This window comes from Homo sapiens, chromosome 2 (genome assembly GCF_000001405.40).
Source record: "Homo sapiens chromosome 2, GRCh38.p14 Primary Assembly".
NCBI lineage: Eukaryota > Metazoa > Chordata > Mammalia > Primates > Hominidae > Homo > Homo sapiens.
The window spans coordinates 197,288,669-197,309,080 of record NC_000002.12 but is presented as its reverse complement, the minus strand read 5'-3'; the positions used below and the strand labels follow the sequence as shown (position 1 = coordinate 197,309,080).

The following is a 20,412-nucleotide window of genomic DNA, read 5'->3' as shown; positions in this document are numbered from 1 at the left end:
TTGTTATCACATATAAGAAAGAACATCACATAGAAGTTTAGAGTTGTAAGGACTCTAAGGATGATCTAGCCCAAACCCTTCATTTTCTAAATGACAAAACAGATCTGGAGAAGTGAAGCAAGTCTTCCTCAAAGAATGCCAGCTATAGGCCTGCAGGACTGGGACTAGCTCTTGTCTTCTGCCTTCCAGGTGCTTGTACTTTCTGCTACAGTTGGTATAGGATAGCTCCATCATCTCATTGGATGTGTTGTAAGGGTTACAAGAAAACATCTCTTCCTAGATCAAGATCAACCCTAGTGAGAAGTGTATTACTTGGTCTTACAAAGAGAGGAAGTTATTCTTCAGGGCTTATCAGAGCAGGAATTTCAAAGATGTTGCCTTTTAAGATGTTTCCAAGTATATTTCCTTCCTTCCCCCAATAAACTAGTATGAGTATGGAGAGAAAGGAAGAGTCACACAACGTTTATTTGGTTCCATCTCCAGATACGTAAAAAGAACCTAAGGCGTTTTAAGATTCAAGAACTTCTGAAAATGTCCAGTCTATCTTGGGACAAAGTCAGAAGGAGATGGGGTGGGGAAGTGGCCTGGGTGGGGTGGGGTGGTGAACAACGATGGTTTCTGTGTAGCTTTAGGTCCAGGAAGTAAGTGTGTGGTCTTTCTTGCCTTATATAGTCTTACCTTTTCTGTTTGAGACTCAATTCTTAGAAGTCAGTTCTTAACCTCACAGATTAACTTTTAAAACCATTTGCTTAGACCACTACTAGAAGAGTTTTGCTCCATCATTGTGGGCAGGGAGCCGCCCGCCTGCTTGGAATCCCTGCCTTAGAGTTTGTACAGGAGTACCTTGCTCTCCATTCAGCTTCTAGTAAAACAACCACTTCTTAATTTCTCCCTCCTTTTTTTTTTTTGTGTGTGTGTGTGTGTGTGTCAGGGTCTCACTCTGACTCGATAGTATGATCATGGCTCACTACAGCCTTGGCCTGCCAGGCTCAAACATCCTCCCACTTCAGCCTCCCCAGTAGCTGGGACTATGGGCGCGTGTGCCACCACACCTGGCTAATTTTTGTATTTTTTGTAGACACAGAGTTTCGCCATGTTGCCCAGGCTGGTCTCAAACTCTTGGGCTCAAACAGTCCACCTGCCTCAGCCTCCCAAAGTGCTGGGATTACAGGCATGAGCCACTGTGCCTGGCACCTCATCTGTTGAATGCCCTATTTGTGAAGTGAATCTTGATTTTTGCTAGGCCTCTTGGATTTTTTACTGTTGATAACCTGAAACACAAATTGTCTGGATTTGTCTTTAAATGTGGCAAAAGTCAGGGGTGACAGATGATGACATTTTCTCTCCAGCTAAAGCTGGGTGCAGGAGCTTGCTAGGTGAAGCAGACACTACTTCAGCAGTCAGTCCTGTAGTGACCTCTCAATCTTGTAAGAGAAGGAAAATGTTTTTTCCTAACTCTTTTTTTTTCAGGAGAGTAAAAAGAAAAAGGGAGAGACCAGTGTAATTTTTAGTCTTTTTTTTTTTTTTTTCACTGTAAAAAAGGAACTGGGAGCTATCACTACAAACAAACAAACTTGGCATTTAGCACTTCTGCATTTGTAACTTTTGTAACAGTGTCCCTTCTGTTTTCCTCTTCACAGGGCACACATAATTTTTATTGCAGCCTTAGGGGGCACTAACCATCCTGGTTTGTGCAGATTGACTGGTGTCCCAGCATATGGGGCTAAAACCGGGAAAATTCCAGGCAAACTGGGAGGAACTGGTTACCCTGTGTAACATAGAACATCCTCAACTATGTCATTAATATAATAATGTAATTAGTTCCTTGTATGTGGACATTAGGAGTTTTATATTTTTTGGTAAAGTGAGATAATTTTAAGTTTGGGAAAGAAAATTTTGTTAAATACAGATCTAAGGCATTTGACTCAAAGATAGCCATGAAACCTTTTTGAAAATTGATTTGATATTGACTGTTTTAGGGTGTTCTTTATGTCATATAGTTAAAGGCACTGTAGTCATTTTAAGTGTGTGGTCGTATCTTCAGCCTGGATCTCTACCCGAAATTTATTTTCAGAGTTATGAAGCTAGGATGGTAAGTTCTGTTGCATGTTTAAAGTGTCCACTATTCTTACCTGCATTTGTTAATGATGGCAGAACACTACTTTCATCTCGGAGGCTGCCTGCAGACAAACTGTTTCAGCAGGTGGCCTTTTTGGAGCTTCCTGCCTGGAGGCCTTCTGGTTTGGTGTTCCCTTGCCAAGTCCTAGTTCACACTTGAGTCACCTACCTTCTTGCCAAAGGCAGTGGCTGGCAGCGGTGGCAGTGGCAAGAGACTAGAAATCCTGTGTAACTTTGGGAGCAGGATTTCTAGCCCATAGTGTGGGGCCTTGGGACGTGTTACATATTTTACTGGGCTGCCCTTGTTCTTCCATGGCTCCCTAGAGCACTGGTGTTAAAGCAAACAGTATGCTGTAGTCCTGTCTTCAGCATAGAAGAAGGGAAAAGAAAGGCTTTATTTAGAACCTTTTCTGGTTGTTTCAGGACCCAATCACATGGTTTTGAGAGTGCACTTGAGGCTGGTGTTTCATGGCAGAGACCTAATAATGTCACACATTTATTGTGCTCTTATTGTATACTGGGCCTTTGCAGTGAATCATGTCTTAATCCTCATAGCCACACTAGGAGGTAGGTGGTGGTGTGATTTCTATTTTATGGATGAGAAAACAGGAATAGAGAGGCTAATTGACCGGTTTAGGGTCATACGCCCAGTAAGTGATCTAGCACACTGTCCTACCCTGGCAGTCTGATTGCACAGGTGGGGCTCTGACCACAAGGCTATACTTTTCATAGTTGAAAGGGCAGTGCAGCCATGGGATTAATGGGTGTCTGATCTTGTTTACAGAGAAGCCATTGGATGAACAGCGTTCCCTGAACTCCTTCTGCCTCTTGGGCCAGACCCATTTCTGTACATAGTAAGGAGCTGCTCTGAGGCCTCTGCCCCTGCCTGGCTTATACCTGGCTTTTCCCATTAGCCTCTCCATTTCCTCACCCCGGTGAATGATGTGTTGGTAGTTCAGTGATTTTTTTCATATATATATATATATATATATATAAAACGAACTGCGGTCATTATAGGAAAAGCAGAAAGCTAGATGAGCAAACCAAAAAATTTTAAAACCATCTGAAGCCTGTATACTCAAGAGATAACTATTCTTGACATTTTGATATGTTTCCTTCTAGTCTTCTGTCTGGGTAGCCAGTTAAAATTTTTAAACTTTTCGTGTGATAATATCATTACCTTTCACTTGTGCACATAGCTGATATCTGTGTTCTCTACACCAATGACTTTTCCAAATAAACTTATTCTTCTCTTACATATATGATTGGCTCTTTAGCCAACGCCAGCACATAAGCTCTAGCTCTGGATTAATGGAACTAACTTTTTTCTTTTTCTTTTCTTTCTTTCTTTCTTTTTTAAGATTTCAACTTTTTACTTCCTCTTTTGCTGTAAACAGAGAGCAAATACGAACTCAAAAAGGCACAAATTGTTTGTACCAGAAACAGAAATGAAAGATTCTTTAAAAAGATTTGTATTTCTACAAGATAATGTGAATTTTTATAGGCTAAAGTATAGCACGAAATAATTTAAAAACAGGCAGAGCTACAGAGATCTGATAATTTTGTGATTTCCAAATTTGTTTAAGCTATGACACTCCTTTTTTCCCCCGAAGAAATTTCATATTGAAGCTCAATATATAAAAAAGATTGGCTTGGACAGTGGTCCCTGAGTCCCTCTTGAAAACTGGTTGGGTTTAGTATTATTTGAAAGCCCCTTTGTATGAGAAAACTCCTGGTGATTGGTTAAGTGTTTTTTGTTGTTGTTTTTGTTTTTTTTCCTGACACATCATGTATGAAACAACATTTATAAATGTTTGTGAATGATTAGGAACTACACAGAACTAGGATGACTATATCATTTTTATCCGTTTGAGAATCATAGGTGATACTACTCAATATGAAGCCACAAATAGACGTGAGCCAGGACTGTCCTGGGTAAACCTGGATATGTGGTCATCATATATTCACATAGACTCCATGTTTGCTCACCACAGGCTTGACAGTGACAGTAAACTAGTTTGACTAGCAGACTACTCTGTCTCTTTTGAGTCAGGTCTACAGTGGTGCAGGTATTACAAAGATTGTTTTATGACCTTGTGCAGAGTTGGGAAACAGCTTCCATGTCACACATGAGTTCTGATCGGTCCAGGACTTGCAGGTGTAATGTGATAGAAACATTCTGACTCTTGCAGTCAAGGATCCGAGAAAGTGTGATTGATTACCAGTGTTTGCTATGGGTACACGGGAAGGGAGAAGTGACATATGTTGTACATTAGCCAACCCTTGGCAAGACATGTTAACCTCTGTAGGCTTCAGGTTTCTCTTTGTAAAATGAAGAGGTTGGACTGGATGCCTTTATGGTGCCTCAGCTCTGCCCTCTCCCTTCTGTGACTTGGTGCCTGTAATGGAGACCGATGCTCTTCACATGGTTTGTGTTATAGCATTTCTTACAAATGTGCCTATGAAGGGTGTATTTGCAGATGAGCTCTAATAAGGCTTTCCAGGTAACAAAGTCAAACAGCTTCAAGTTCCAGAGAAGGATTTTAACCCATGTCAATGACTTAGGACTAATTCCTATTCTCCACCCTACTTCAATTCATAGATAATCTAAGATTACCCATTTTATTTATTCTGTATTTTTATTTTTTTGGGACAGAGTCTCGCTCTGTTTCCCAGGCTGGAGTATAGTGGTGCAATCTTGGCTCATTGCAACCCCCGCCGACCCCCTCCTGGGGTTCAAGTGATTCTTGAGCCTCAGACTCCCGGGTAGCTGGGATTACAGGCTTGCACCACTACGCCCAGCTAATTTTTGTATTTTTAGTAGAGATGAGGTTTCACCATGTCGGCCAGGCTGGTCTCAAACTCCTGGCCTCATGTGATCTGCCTGCCTCAGCCTCCCAAAGTGCTGGGATTACAGGGGTAAGCCACCACACCTGGCCTAAGATTGCCCTCTTTATAGATTACTCCTTTTTAACCTTTTAACCAATATATTATTTGGCTTTGGCTGCTTTCAGAGGTCGGGAATGCAGGTATTTGCCCTTATCAGTGTTTATGTTTGTAAATATGTTGGTAGCCTAAGAGGTTGAAATTAATGATTCATGAATCCAGCTTGTAATTATGATATTCATAATTTTTAAGGATCTTTTCACTTGCCTCCTCTTTTGAAAACTTAAAATTTATATTCTATAAAGTGAGCTAAGCAAATAAATATATAGTCCACTTTGGGCTGTTTCAGGGATTACTAAGTCGATAATTGTTTGCATTTCTTGGTTTTTGTTTGCTTAGAGTCCCCTTGCTCCCATCCTGGGGAGTCTTAAGCATCCAAGCATAGCTTTCTAGGATATCTTTTATACCAGAAGACCATTTTCCCCTAAGAAAGCTTTCAGAGCTTTTAGTAAAATTAGGGAGACTTGTGGAAACATCTGTTTGAGCCTAGACATGGAAATTAATTACAATTCTAACCTGTCTCTAAAAGTTTTGCTTTTTTTATTTAAAAAATTTTGTTTTGCTTTAGTTTGTTTTAAAAATAACACTAGATTGGGAATCAGAAGACGTGGATTCTACTCATGGTTCTTCTAACTGTTGTATGGTTTGGGGTAAGTCCTGGCCTTCGTTTCTTTGTCTGTCAAAATGGGAACAGGTAGAAAATTCTCTAAATTCTTCCAAGCTCTAACATTCTAAGATAGCTCCTCACATATTTCAATGTCAGTCTTTTCTCATCTTGTGGAATCTCAGTTCAAAAAGTATCTGCCTTTTATGAACTTCTGATTTTCTCCCAAGTGTGTTTGTGGCAGCTTTAAAGTTTCCCAGGTTTGGTAAACACATCCTGAGTTTTGTCTAAGGGTGAGGAGTCCTTTCTCCAAGAAGTTTGTCTTCTGGCATCTCCAGGAGCCTGGCTGTGGGGACACAGAACCCCTGGGGCTGTTCTCAGTGTGGTTCTTTGAGAATCCTCTTGAACTTCTTACAGGATAAAGGGAGCAATCCTTACAAAGGCCATGCTTGTCTCTTGTGAGCTGGGGCCCACCTTAGCCTTCTTCAGAGGTGTTGCTTTAGCAAATACCTTGGGTCCTCCCAGGCAAAATCCTATTTTATTGAACCCAAATAACATGTGCATCTAACAAGTTTATTTCTGAAGGGTTGGCCCAGAGTTGGGTGCAGTTGACATGGTGACCACAGACTTTCTCAAGAAAGGAAGAAAATTCCTACATGTAATCACCAGCCTCTGTATGGTTAGTCTCTGTGGAGGAGACTTGTTTTGGTGTCTAAGACTGGCAAGATCAGGAAAAAGGAAAGTGAGCATAAGAGAAGTCTAAAGACAGAAAGCCAGGCAGACATTCAGGTCAGCCGGGACAAATCAACCAACCAATTATTGTGAAACAATGGCCTCCAAAAGTAGGTGTGGCCTACACCCCAAGGATGAACACAATACTTTATTGAGTTGGAGTTTGGGAAAGAGAATATTGGAATTCATATTTCTTTAAATCATTCTTTTAAACTTTTAATTTTTATGTAGTTTTAGTACATCTTATTTGCTAGTACTGTGTCATCTTTTTGGCTGTATTTTTCACTGGCTGCCACCTGGCCAAATCACCACTTGGGTTATAACAGCAGCCTCTGACTGGTCTCCTTCCGTCTGACCTTGGCCCCTGCACTCTACTCTCAACGTAGCTCTCAGAGTGATGGAACTCAGAACTTGTCACTCCTGCTCAAAAACTTCCAGTTTCACCCAGGTGAAAGCTAAGGTCATTAGAGTGACCTCTGCACTCAGCTCATCCACTCAACTGTCCAGCCTTGTCTGCTGTCCACCTCTTCCTGGCTCCTTGGCTCCAGCCCCACTGGCCTCCTCCTATTTAGTGAACACACCAGCTGCGCTCCTGCCTCGGGACCCTTGCTGTTCCTGCTCCCTGTGCAGCTCCTCCCTAGATATCTGCATGGCTCACCTTTACCTCTTTCGGGTCTTTCCTCAGATGTTACCTTCTCAGTGAGTCCCTTTCTGACCACACTATTTAAAATGCCCACTCCACATTTCCTGTCTGCCTTTCTTTATTTTCCTCCACAGTGTAAATCCCTCATACCATATATTTGACTCCCCCCATTTTAAAAACCAAAACTTACATGTGGCTAAGATATAGATAACAGGACAAAGATTATTTTGTTAGTTTGGTTCATTCACTGCTGTGTCTTTAGCACTTAAAACAGGGTAAGGTGCATAGTAAATGCTCAATAAATATTTGTTAAGTGATTGAATATAAATATGTATATGTATCTGTATATGTACATGTTCAAATGTTTTTTACTCATGAAGTACTCAAACAAAGAAAAGAGAAACACTTCTATAAACAGCTTTCATTTTACACTGGGATGTCAAATTTCCATTCAAACAAAATTAAGAGAAAGTTTTCTGCCCTATGAAAAGATAAAAGATCACATATTGTCCTATTTTCTGGTTATATTTTCCCTCTTTTTAAACTGTGCTTTTGGTTGTGAGGATGGTTAGCACTGTAGGTAATTCTCAGTCGTAGGTAATTCTCAGTTCCATTTCTTTTCAGGGGAAGTATCAAGGTGACATGAGGGGACAGGAAATATTGTCCCTAAATGTTCTAAGAGTGGATCTCCCATGTATTCAAGCAATCGAGGGGTGTTTAATGAGCTCCATCTACATAGCAATGATACAGCATAGCTCTGCTGGGGCTCTCTGCTCTCCCCTTCTCCACAAAAGGGAAGGACAGGTAAGAACAGGCACAATAAAATAGAAACCAGACAGAAAGAATTGGGAACAAGGAGACAAGACAAGAATCATGCTTTACGTGATTTAATCCTAATATTTTTATGAGAGGATGGCTATCATCATTTCATTTTAAAGATGAGGAAAATGAAGCCGGGTGCGGTGGCTCATGCCTGTAATCCCAGCACTTTGGAAGGCCGAGGAAGATGGCTCACCTGAGGTCAGGAGTTCGAGACCAGCCTGGCCAGAGAGATGGCCAGAGATGGCTAGAGATGGTGAAACCCCATTTCTACTAAAAATACAAAAATTAGTCAGGTGTGGTGGCAAGCACTTGTAATCCCAGCTACTTGGGAGGCTGAGGCAGGAGAATTGCTTGAACCTGGGAGGACGAGGTTGCAGTGAGCCGAGATTGTGCCATTGCACTCCAGCCTGGGCGACAAGAGTGAAACTCTGTCTCAAAAAAAAAAAAAAAAAAAAAAGGAAAATGAAAACTGAGAGGTCGAGTAATTTTTTTCAGGGTCGCATGACTCTGGGAGTCACATCTGGGCAAGCTCAACTCCAAGGTGCACATTCTTAGCCATCACACATTAGGATTCTTGAAATAGGTGCAGTATCACAAGAGGCCTTTTTCCCCATGGAGCTCACAGTCTAGTTAGATGATACTGAATGCCTTGCACATGAAAGGCCCTCTTTAAAGTTTATTGAGTTCATGTGGCATATGAAACAGTTATCAATCCACATATAGTGCAGGTTTAGACTATGCTTAGGGGTATTGATTAGGGACTTCAGGAGTCCAGAGATGGGCAAAGTCATTAAGAAGGGAGCTGGAGGGAGTCTAAGCGGTACTTGAGGAAGGGAATGATTCAGGCAGCAGATGTGGGTAGAACCCAGGTGAGTGACGTGTTGTGTCCCTTTCAGGTAACCTGGTGACTAAATTTACTGAGTCATAGGGTTCATGTTAGGTAGGAAGAAGAGGTAAGGAAATATCCAATTTGCAAACTGGATAGGAGAGGTGTTTGCATATTAACACATTTTTCTCAGTTGAGTTCTTTGATAGGTACTACATGCCCTCTGCCTGAAAACTTGAATTGATGAATTTGTGCCTAAGCAAAACTCATTGTTTCCATTTGTTGCACATGACTTTTTACAAATTAATTTGTATTTACTTTGTTCCAAAAAGTATTGAAGCATTAAAGTAAGGTGTTGCCTTATGGGCCCTTCTGTGTCCATGATACCCCTGGCTTGGATAGAATGTTGCATGAGGTACCATGGCAACATTTTGTGAACAAACATGTATTTTGGAGTAGCAAGGACTTCATTGAAAGGATCTAGATGGTTTGGTGATGTAGGCCATTGATGGAATAATGTAGTATGTTTAAAGATGACTTTTTTTTCCTTCTTAAAAAATTATTTCCATAGGTTTTTGGGGAATGGGTGGTGTTTGATTACATGAATAAGTTCTTTAGTGGTGATTTCTGAGATTTTGGTGCACCTGTCACCACTAAAGAACTGTACCCAATGTGTAGTCTTTTATCCCTCACTCCTTTCTCACCATTTCCCTGATTCCCCAAAGCTCATTATATCATTCTTATGCCTTCGTGTCTTCATAGCTTAGCTCCTACTAATGAGTGAGAACATATGATGTTTGTTTTTCCATTTCTGAGTTATTTCAGTTAGAATAATCGTCTCCAATTCCATCCAGGTTGCTGCAAATGCCATTATTTCATTCCTTTTTATGGCTGAGTAGTATTCCATGGTATGTATCTACCACACTTTCTTTATCCACTCATTGATTGATGGGCATTTGAGCTGGTTCCATATTTTTGCAATTGTGAATTGTGCTGCTGTAAACATGCATGTGCAAGTACCTTTTTCTTATGACTTCTTTTCCTCTGGGTAGATACCCAGGAGTGGGATTGCCGGATCTAGAGATGACTTGTTTTTAATCTTATACATATTTGTTAAATAAGAAATTACAAAATCCAGACTATGGGATGCCTACAGAAAAAACAGACCTCATTTATTTAAAAAATCAATTGTAAGAGGAAAAAAAAAAGATGGAGAGGAAATATAAATCCATAAATTAAAAGAGAATTAAGATACATTCAGACTAGTTGCAGTGAATAGATTTGGATTCTGATTTAAACAAACTTAAAAAAGCACACTTCTTTGAGATAATTGGGGAAATTTGAATACTGACTGGATATTTGATGATTTAAAGTGTGAATAGGATATTGTGGTTATGTTTAAAAAGAGAGTCCTTTTACAAAACTAGAAACTATAAAACTCTAGCATTTTCTCTCTCTTTCTTTTTTTTTTTTGAAACAGGATCTCACTCTGTCACCCATGCTAGAGTGTAATGGTGCGATCACAGCTCACTGCAGCCTTGACTTCCGGGGCTCAGTTGAGTCTCCCACCTCAGCCTCCTGAGTACCTGGGACTACAGGTGCGTGCCACTACACCTGGCTAGTTTTTGTATTTTTAGTAGAGATGAGTTTCACCATGTTGCCCAGGCTGGTCTCGAACTCCTGGAATCAAGTGATCTGCTTGGCTTTCCAAAGTGCTGAGATTACAGGCATGAGCCACCATGCTTGGCCTACTTTAGCATTTTCTCAGGGCACCTATTTAAGTGATACATTCTTTTTGGAAACTATTTTTCTTTTTACTTCTTCCTGCCACCTTTGTGCCCCTCTTAAGGCCTCCACTCTCGCTTGATAGAATGCCTTCAGTAAAGTTGTTAGAATCCTTTCTGTTTGTCCATAAAAGCACATGATTTTTCTGGTTTTGCTGCCCAAGGAAATATGCTTCTGAGCTAGTTGTGTGGTCCACACATCTATTGACTTAGTTTAAGTGGCTCCATAACTTGAGTCAAATACTTGAGCATTGGTCTTAGAATCCCATCTTGTGTGCTTTTAGGAAGACCTGGATTTGGCTTGTCCAGTGTAAGATATTTGGAAGGGAATTTAGATACTAGAGTTGCCAAAAATCGCTTTCTTACATTGACTTTTAAACTATGCTTTTAATTATACCGTGTAGTTCTTAAAGGCAGCAAACAGTTACAAGGTCTCAATTCTAATGGGCCTGGCTGCCATGCCTCTCTTCTTACCTGAACAGGAAGTAGGTGTTTGTTGTTGCCTTGAGTGGTTTCACCATTGCTTCAGACATGCTGAAATATCTTCCTTTATTTCTACAAGTGTAAAAATCTTTCTATATCCTTCTTAACGGAGTCCAGATTTAAGAATAGACCATAAGCATAAGAAGTGGCCAGCTGTGACTTGAGTAAATGATACTGTCATGAGTAATTTAGAAGCCATGTGACTAAGGGTTTTGTACTTTGGAGCCTTAGTATAATTAGGTCTTGGGGCTCATGAGATGAGTGCAATGTTTAGTTGCTAATGCTCCTTTTCGTAGCAGCCAAGAAGAAACAATCTTTTTAAGTAGCTCTGCTTTGTAGCAAGGAGTCTTCTATCAAGGTTTCAGGGTACTGTATTTTATGTATAATATTTTAAAATATTGTGGCATCTAACCGAACAATTTCCAAAAATGCTCCGTGTGAGTTGTATATTTAGAATACTAAAGTTGATGTCTGGAGACCTGGGCTATGTGCACAGCGCTACTCCTAACAAGCTGTGTCCATCTTCCTGTGACACAACTTTCCTTGACTGTAAGATGGGTAAAATAATACTTGCTTTACGGGGAAGTTGTGATAATCAAGTGGGAAAAGTCTTTGTATAGCAGGTGGTCCTTGGTTGGCACTCTATAATAAATAGTCTCTGAATCTTGGGCTGGTTCCTCATTTGTCACATTAAAGAGACCAGTTTTCTCAGGTCAATTTCAGCTCTATGAAAATATGATTTGAGTTTGTTTTTGTTTTATATTTATGACCTTTTAACTAGTCTTCTTTCTCTCTCTCACTTAAACAACATTGGTAGAAAGAGTTTGTTTGTTTTATTTTTGTATGGAATTTCCATACTTCGGTATGAATTGTAGTGTTTGGTTCCTACAGCTTTAGGAATTACATTTTTCTTTCATTTTGGTTTTATCAAATCAATTGACTTAGTTTATTTGACCAAAGAATCTTATGTTTAGATAGATCTAGGAGGATCAATTTGTGTTGAAAAGATTCTCAGGAGTTTGCAGTCATTTTTTATTTAAGTTGTCAAAAAGAACTTTGAAAATTACTTATAAGAATGCCACTTCCTCTTCACAGAAATATAAAACTGTGTCTTTTTGAGGAAGTGTGTAAAAACAAAAGTTGATAGAGTAATCTTCATAAAAAATCATCACAGCAGAATGTCTAAAAAACATTGGTGTAAAATTTCAAGTCTCGAATTAATTTATAACGGTAGAAAACAAACTTCTCTGATAAAATGTGACTTAAAAAGTTAGATGAAAGATACATTGTAAAAAGTTACTTTAATTTGGGGTTTTTTCCCTTTTAAAACTATAGAATGCTACTTAAAGAGCAGATAATTTAAACATCATTGGATATGTGTATGTATCTTAATTCTAACAAAGCATTTCAATTTGAGGTGATTCTTGGTTGAGATGTAGGGCAAAGTAAAAAGGGTCACAGGAAATGAAAATGAGAATTGGTATAAGAAAAGGTGGAATAAGGAAAAATAAGAGAAAACCATTAAGAAACTTATTTATTTATTCTTTTAGAGGGAAGGAATTAGGAGCGGGAAGGAGATTGACTGTTAGTTTCTTAGGTGAGTGTTGGAGATGCTGTTGAACTTTAAGCTTAATTGGTCACCTGCTGTCCTTTGTTCTTTGAAATAATTGACATTGATCCTTGCTGTTCAGCCACATTGACACTTATATCTTGGGAGTTCTAGGATTGGACTAACAAAAGTGGAGGTTGTTACTTACACTGCAAAAGAAACAACCAGAGCTGTGTCACTCAGAAGGCTGAAAAGAATCAGGCTGACAGGTAATTTGGCCCCTCAAAAGGTCCTAGTGGCTGATATAGGACCTTCAGAATGAGTGTAGGTGACAGGCAGGTAACAAATTATTTTACACAGTGGGAAGTCAGGTATTAGGAGCTTCTATGACTAGTGACTAGGTTCCTGCAACAACTCTGGTTTTAAGCACCCCACTGCCTGTCCTGGTGAGTTGAACTCAAGCAGGACATTTCTTCATTACTGCTTTACCTTTTCTTTTTATTTCTTCTTCTTTTCTTTTTTATTTTTTTGAGACAGGGTCTCAATCTGCCACCTAGGCTGGAGTGCAGTGGTGCCATCATAGCTCGACCTCCTGGGCTCAGGTGATCCTCCCGCTTCAGCCTCCTGAGTAGCTGGGACTACAGGCATGTACCTCCATGCCACCTGGCTCACTTTTTGTAGGGACAGGGTTTCACCATGTTGCCCAGTCTGGTCTTGAACTCCTGAACTCAAGGGATCTGCCCACCTCAGCCTCCCAAAGTGCTGGGATTATAGGAAAGAGCAAACCACCGTGCCCAGCCTTGCTTTTACCTTTTCAACCAGCTCTTCCAGAGGCTGAATAGTATTTTTCTTAACTCCATTCCTGCCATGAATTGGCTGTGAGATCCTGGCCAGTCATTATACCTCCTTGGGCCTCAGTTTTCTTTAAGAAATGAGGACATTGTTTTAGAGTTTATTCTTGCAGCTGCTCCAGTCTTCTATAGTTTTAACCCAGGGGTTGCAGACTACTATCCACAGGACACATATGGCCTGCTGCCTGCTTTAAATGGCCCGTGAGCCAAGGATAGTTTTTATATTAAGTGATTGAAAAGGATCAAAAGGATAATACTTTGCAACACATAAAAATTAAACAAAATTCTAATTTCTTTGTCCATAAATAAAGTTGTATTATTTGTTTACGTCTTGTCTATGGGCGCTACAACAGCAGAGTTGAGTAGTTGTGGCAAAGACTATAGGGTCAGCAAAGCTGAAAATATTTATTATCTGGCCTTTTACAGGAAAAAATTTGCCAACCTCTTGCTCTAACTCAAGGGCAGACTTGGGGCCATCCTCTTCAGAAATCGAGTGCTACACTCTTACAGTCCTAGTGTTACCTAAGTTGCACTTTGATCTAGATTTAATTAGATTGAGGTGGGAATTCTTGCTTTTATTATTTTCTCCAGGAGAAAGTAGAAGCTTAGTTAGCTTTTTTGGTATGCTTTCAATTAGAAACAATCCTCCTTAAAACAATAGTTTTGTTTGTACTCAACTTTTTTTTCCCTCTGCCTAGGAATCACTGTAGAGAAGGAAGCCATATGTTTATATTTTAAATCACTTGCCTTTTCTATAGGATTTTTAAACTCCAGATGTGGACTCAGAAACAGTTAATATGTACTTTTGATGCACTCAAAGAGCCAAGATGGGGGAAGAGAGATCTTTACTTCTTATATATGAGAGCAAAACAGAAATCTTAATATTTTCTATTCCCCAAGTAGAGACTCTAGATTAATATGGGGATGGAAATAGCCTTAATTTTGTAGGAGGCTAATTTTAAGCAAACACAGTTTAAAGGTCAAGTATTACAAATGGAAATTATACAATTAAAAATAAATCTTAAAGCTGTCTACTAATCTAATGTTGCTCATTATTCTAGAAGGTTCTCTCTGAAGCTAAGTCTGGTAATTTCTGTGTGGGTTATAAGTTTGTGTGTGTGTTGGGGCGGAGGGGTGGTGCAGAGAGACAGAGAGAGAATGAAAATATGTGTGTGTGTGGTTTCCAGTGTTCATTTCATTAGAATTATAAAGAGCATCTGACTCTTGCTCTTGTACTTCCAGAGTCATTTGAGTTATTATGAAACTCCTCCTAGGCCTGGAGTTCTGTTTGATCTTGGATGAAGATGGGCACCTTGAACTGGTTAGCGAGGCCAGAAAGGAGGTCAGTCAACATGTCATCTTTCATATAAAGGTTCACTTTTCTCAGAAGTGAAACTAACTTCTATATGAAAGATGACACGTGTTGACTGACCTCCTTTTCTCTATCCTTCAGAGAGAATTAAGACTAAAGAAACTTGTTTAAAAGATTTGTAAAGAAATTAATGTAGTGTACAACTTTAGAAAACATGGACAGTGACCGAGTACCTAAGCTGTCTGGGACCTCCAGCATTTTCTGAACAATATTATAAATTGTCTGGTGAAGACAGGAGATGAGCATTAGAATCCCCATTTTTCATAGGGAGAAACCGAGGCCAGTGGCTGTTACTTTGCTTGTTGATTGTTAGTGGAGGTAGAGCTCTTATTTTTTCTGGCTCAGTCTGAGGTGCATTTCATTTGCCTATCCTGTTCTTAAACAGCACTTATAAAATCACGTGTCATTTCTGCAGTTATATTTAGGATACAGCCTAAAATGCTGTATAAACACCCTGTGATAGAATGCTGAAGGCTGCCGCCTGGGTAATTATCATGTGGTTCTAGTATCGTATCATCTGCATTATCCAGATTAGAATGTATCACCCACTTCTAAGCTGGTCTAGAAGAAGGAGCCCATTGTGTGCAAGGCCATAAGGATATTGCCTCATCGTTCCCCTGTGGGTAAAGATCTTTGTGATACACAGAAGACCGTGGAACTTCATTCTTATTTGAAAACACTTGTGACTGGTAATAATCCTGAAATACTAAGGCTTTCCCATGCCCTCATCCCCAAAATTCCTCTCTAATATGCTTTGTTTTCTTTTTTTAGAATTTTGTGAGATGTATTTAAGATTGGCCATCTGAAGGGAACATTTGTCACAGCACTGCCTAATCTTTAGATGTGTGTAAATGCAGATATGTTTAATGAACTCTTTCATTTTCCTGCTTACATGGAGTGGGGAAAGTTTCTTCATTGAGGCTCTCACTTCTGGTTTCAGTCCATTTTTAGCCCCTTGATTAGTGTGTGTCTTGGGAAGGTTGGAGCTAAGCCACTGAATTTCTCTTCACTTCTGGGGGAAAATGTTTGTACCCCAACTTTTTAGTATCTAAGACTCTGGTTAACTCAGTAGTAGTAGATTAGCAGTGACTATTGAATAAGTGAATGATGTAGTGCCAGTCTCTGCTGCTGTGTTTTTTCCTTCACCATCCTTCCCTTCTTTTATCTACTTTATCTACCTTCTTTTTCTCCTCTTGGGATCTTTACCATGAACAGAGGAAGGACAGGAAGTGATTAATTTTTGGTTATGTAAATAACCCTAGTAAAAAGATTGGTGATATAAAATATTGCTAATATTTGTTTGGTGGATTTTTTCTTCTTGGTGTCTTGATAAATATGTATAGTCAAGAATGTGTGGCTGATGGCTTAGTGTGTCATGACATGAACAGATCTGGGACAACTTCTCCAGTCAAGGAAACAGTATGGGAAGAAATGTTTTACTCACCATTTTTTTGTACTGTGGAGATTTTGGACAGGCTTTAACTGGGACAGCTCTTTAAAGACTTGCACAGGAAGTCACTGTTAATGTGCACTCTTGGTTTAAAGCATCTTGCTAAGTAGGGCCCAAAGGAGGCAGAGTGTGATTTCCATCACCGATCCTGGGTGGACTGAGAGGATGGCCATGCTGGGCCATCTACTGATGCTTACAAGTAGCTCATGGCAACATTTTTTATCCCCAACCCCTACCACCAAAAGATTTTTATACGCTATGTATTCCCTTGCACATTTTTTGGGGGGTTGACATCTAAAGTTTTTCATCACAAAGTTGGAAAGATACAAAGGATGTAATTCCTGGCATAATACAAATGTTGACTTTTAAAATGGAAACATTATATCACTGTTTAAAATGTGTTGAATGGAATTTAAACACTATTGTGATTTGAGTGTCCCACCTTCACTTAAAAAATACATGAGCAACATCATCACTGGTCATCAGATAAATGCAAATCAAAACCACAATGAGACACCATCTCATGCCAGTTAGAATGGCGATCATTAAAAAGTCAGGAAACCGCAGGTGCTGGAGAGGATGTGGATAAATAGGAATGCTTTTACACTGTTGGTGGGAGTGTAAGTTAGTTCAACCATTGTGGAAGACAGTGTGGCGATCTCTCAAGAATCTAGAACTAGAAATACTATTTGACCCAGCAATCCCATTACTGGGTATATATCCAAAGGATTATGAATCATTCTACTATAAAGACACATGCACACATATGTTTATTGTGGCACTATTCACAATAGCAAAGACTTGGAACCAATTCAAATGTCCATCACTGATAGACTGGATTAAGAAAATGTGGCACATATACACAGTAGAATACTATGCAGCCATAAAAAAGGGATGAGTTCATGTCCTTTGCAGGGACATGGATGGAGGTGGAAACCATCATCCTCAGCAAACTATCACAGGGACAGAAGAGCAAACACTGCATGTTCTCACTCATAGGTGGGAATTGAACAATGAGATCACTTGGACACAGAGCAGGGAACATCACACACTGGGGCCTGTCGTGGGGTGGTGGGATGGGGGAGGGATAGCATTTGGAGAAATACCTAATGTAAATGACGAGTTAATGGGTGCAGCAAGCCAACATGGCACATGTATACATATGTATCAAACCTGCACATTGTGCACATGTACCCTAGAACTTAAAGTATAATTTAAAAAAAATACATGAGCAAGCATTATTCGATAGTTGGAAATTTTACATTGTTCCTTTTTCTCCTTGAGCTTATACTTCTATTCCACTTTCTCATGCAGAATTTGGCTGGGTGTGGTGGCTCATGCCTGTAAATTACCGCACTTTTATCCAAATATTATACATTATTTATTTTTTTGAGATGGAGTCTTGCTCTGTTGCCCAGGCTGGAGTGCAATGGCATGATCCCAGCTCACTGCAGCCTCCGCCTCCTGGGTTCAAGTGATCCTCCTGCCTCAGCCTCCCAAGTAGCTGGAATTACAGGGGCCCACCACCATGCCCAGCTAATTTTTGTGTTTTTAACAGAGACGGGATTTCACCATGTTGGCCAGGCTGGTCTTGAACTGCTGACCTCAGGTGATCCACCTGCCTTGGCCTCCCAAAGTGCTCGGATTACAGGCATGAGCCACCGCGCCTGGCCACATCTTATTTATTTTTTAGGGACAGGGTCTCACTCTGTTACCCAGCCTAGAGTGCAGTGGTGTGATTATAGCTTACAGCAGCCTGGAACTCCTGGGCTCAAGTGATCCTGTCACATCAGCCTCCTAAGTAGCTAGGGTTACAGGTACACACCAGCATGCCTGGCAAATCTTTGTTTTTTTTGTACAGACAGGGTCTCCCTATGTTGCCCACGCTAGTCTGAAACTCCTGGCCTCAAGGGATCCTCCCTCCTTGGCCTCCCAAAGTGTTGGGATTACAGGTGCGAGCTGCTGTGCCTGGCACAAATGTACTACATTAAAAAAAAACTGCAGAGGTTGCAGTGAGCTGAGATCTCACCACTGCACTCCAGCCTGGGCTGGACTGAGACTCCATCTCAAAAACAAAAACAAAAACAAAAAACAAAAAACAAACAAACAAAAAAACTGATTATCTTACAATGCTTTGTAATAGAAATGTGATCCTGAGATGCTAAGAGTTAAATAAATTTCTGGATTGAGTTTCCAATGATTATTAACAATGTATCAAAACAAATATAAAATTTGATAAATTAGTAATAATACATGCAAAGTAAAGCATGCTTATTTGGAATGAATTTCTTGATCTGTTGATGAGGCTCTTTCTTTTTAAAATGAGTTTGTGTATTTGTGAAGAACATGGCTTATTGCTGGGATGATACAGAGGGAGTTAAAAGTTCTGACTTCGAATCTCCTGGTTTTCAACTGGTCTTTTCTTTGACACCAGGAAACTCAAGTGAATCAGCAATAAAAAAAAATAATCCCATCAAGAAGTGAATAGACATTTCTCAAAAGAAGATATACAAACAGCCCACAAACATATGAAAAAATGCTCAACATCACTAACCATCAGGGAAATGCAAATTAAAACCACAATGAGATACCACCTTACTCCTGCAAGAATAGCCGTAATTAAAAAGTTGCAACACAATAGATGTTGGTGTGGATGTGGTGAAAAGGAAACACTTTTACACTGTTGGTGGGAATGTAAATTAGTACAACCTGGGATTATAGGCATGAGCCACAGTGCCCCACCTATTCATTTTATTTTTTCTTTTTGAAAAATAGACTATTGGGAGGCTGAGGCGGGCAGATCACTTGAAGTCAGGAGTTCGAGACCAGCCTGGCCAACATAGTGAAACCCCGTCTCTCCTAAAATACAAATATTAGCCAGGCGTGGTGGCGGGCACCTGTAATCTCAGCTACTTGGGAGGCTGAGGTTAGGAGAATTGCTTGAACCCAGGAGGTTGCAGTGAGCCGAGATCACGCCACTGCACTCAGCCTGGGTGATAGAGACTCCGTCTCAAAAAAAAAAAAAAGAGAAAAATTGACCATATTGTGGATAGTTTACATGAAATGGCATGCATCCACTTTAATGACATGTAGATGTGTTTTGACAAAAGTTACCTGTGTAATCACCCCCATAATCAAGATATGGAATGATTCTATCACCCCCAAAGAGTTCTATTCTGCTTCTTTGTCTTCCCTACTTTACATCCTAGGCAAATACTGATCTGCTGTCTGTTACTACAGATGAATTTCACACAAATGGAATCATACAGTTTGTCCTCTTTAGTTTCTGGCTTCTTTTGCTCAGCATAAGGATTTTGAGATTCGTTCATGTTTTGTGTATAAGGAGATAAAATCTTTCTTATTGCTAAATAGTGTTCCAATGTCTGGCTATACCATAATTTTTCATCCATTCATCTGTTGATGGAAATTTGGGTTGTACCCACATTTATCTATTATGAATAATTATGTGCAAGTCTTTTCTTTAAACATAAAGAAATTTCTCTTGTATAATACCTGATAAGTGCATGTTTATAAGAAACTGACAAACTGTTTTTCAAAGTGGTCGTACCATTTCACACTCCCCCAACAATACATATGGGTTAGTTTCTCCACATCCTTGTCAACACTTGGAATTAGCAGTCTTTTAAATTTTAGCTATACTAATATTTATGTAGTAATGTTTGTGAGTTTTTTGGTATTTTTTCTTTACTGATACATAATATTTTACATATTTATGGAGTCTATATGAGTGAGACATACATAGGATGTGTAATGACCAAACCAGTGTATTTGGGGGTATTCATCACTTTGAGTATTTATCATTTCTATACGTTGGTATCACTTAGAGCCTCTCTTCTAGTTACTTTGAAATATACAAAATATTGTTGCTAGGTATAATTACCCTAGTCTGCTACCAGACTTACAATTTATTTCTTCTACCTAAACTGTATGTTAGTACCCATTAACCAACCTCTCTTCATATCCTCCTCCCACCCACTTATCCTTCTCAGCCTCTGGTATCTGTTATTCTATCCTCTGGGTCCATGATTTCAAGTTTTTTAGCTCCCATATGTGAATGAGAACATATGGTATTTGTCTTTCTGTGCCTGGCTTATTTTACTTAACATTATGACCTCCAGTTTTATCCATGTTGCTGCAAGTGACATGATTTCATTGTTTTTTACGGCTGAATAGTATTCCATGGTGTGTGTGTGTGTATGTGTATATGTGTG

General features: G+C 39.7%; 1 protein-coding gene and 1 long non-coding RNA gene across 18 annotated transcripts in view, besides 8 other annotated features; both read left to right on the top strand.

Annotated features, from left to right (window-relative positions):
- The window catches only part of ANKRD44 (ankyrin repeat domain 44), a 343,767-nt gene that overhangs the window by 1,700 nt on the left and 321,655 nt on the right, over positions 1-20,412 (top strand). The gene's annotated exons all lie outside the window — the stretch shown is intronic.
- Positions 892-941: an enhancer, noted in NCBI's record as "active region_16930". NCBI's record gives its function as "activates an Ori minimal core promoter by ATAC-STARR-seq in GM12878 lymphoblastoid cells {active_cell/tissue: GM12878}" and the evidence as "EXISTENCE:reporter gene assay evidence [ECO:0000049][PMID:35858748]".
- Positions 1,522-1,601: an enhancer, noted in NCBI's record as "active region_16929". NCBI's record gives its function as "activates an Ori minimal core promoter by ATAC-STARR-seq in GM12878 lymphoblastoid cells {active_cell/tissue: GM12878}" and the evidence as "EXISTENCE:reporter gene assay evidence [ECO:0000049][PMID:35858748]".
- Positions 1,642-1,691: an enhancer, noted in NCBI's record as "active region_16928". NCBI's record gives its function as "activates an Ori minimal core promoter by ATAC-STARR-seq in GM12878 lymphoblastoid cells {active_cell/tissue: GM12878}" and the evidence as "EXISTENCE:reporter gene assay evidence [ECO:0000049][PMID:35858748]".
- Positions 4,157-4,286: an enhancer, noted in NCBI's record as "active region_16927". NCBI's record gives its function as "activates an Ori minimal core promoter by ATAC-STARR-seq in GM12878 lymphoblastoid cells {active_cell/tissue: GM12878}" and the evidence as "EXISTENCE:reporter gene assay evidence [ECO:0000049][PMID:35858748]".
- ANKRD44-IT1 (ANKRD44 intronic transcript 1) overlaps positions 6,562-20,412 on the top strand; it is a 51,662-nt gene continuing 37,811 nt past the window's right edge. The window contains exons 1-5 of the long non-coding RNA NR_046837.1: positions 6,562-6,848; positions 7,668-8,118; positions 9,546-9,599; positions 12,509-12,555; positions 12,682-12,776. This is a non-coding gene — a long non-coding RNA (ANKRD44 intronic transcript 1). The remainder of the gene's footprint in view (positions 6,849-7,667; positions 8,119-9,545; positions 9,600-12,508; positions 12,556-12,681; positions 12,777-20,412) is intronic.
- Positions 6,865-7,154: an enhancer, noted in NCBI's record as "active region_16926". NCBI's record gives its function as "activates an Ori minimal core promoter by ATAC-STARR-seq in GM12878 lymphoblastoid cells {active_cell/tissue: GM12878}" and the evidence as "EXISTENCE:reporter gene assay evidence [ECO:0000049][PMID:35858748]".
- Positions 10,302-10,351: a silencer, noted in NCBI's record as "silent region_12209". NCBI's record gives its function as "represses an Ori minimal core promoter by ATAC-STARR-seq in GM12878 lymphoblastoid cells {active_cell/tissue: GM12878}" and the evidence as "EXISTENCE:reporter gene assay evidence [ECO:0000049][PMID:35858748]".
- Positions 11,242-11,301: an enhancer, noted in NCBI's record as "active region_16925". NCBI's record gives its function as "activates an Ori minimal core promoter by ATAC-STARR-seq in GM12878 lymphoblastoid cells {active_cell/tissue: GM12878}" and the evidence as "EXISTENCE:reporter gene assay evidence [ECO:0000049][PMID:35858748]".
- Positions 11,612-11,661: an enhancer, noted in NCBI's record as "active region_16924". NCBI's record gives its function as "activates an Ori minimal core promoter by ATAC-STARR-seq in GM12878 lymphoblastoid cells {active_cell/tissue: GM12878}" and the evidence as "EXISTENCE:reporter gene assay evidence [ECO:0000049][PMID:35858748]".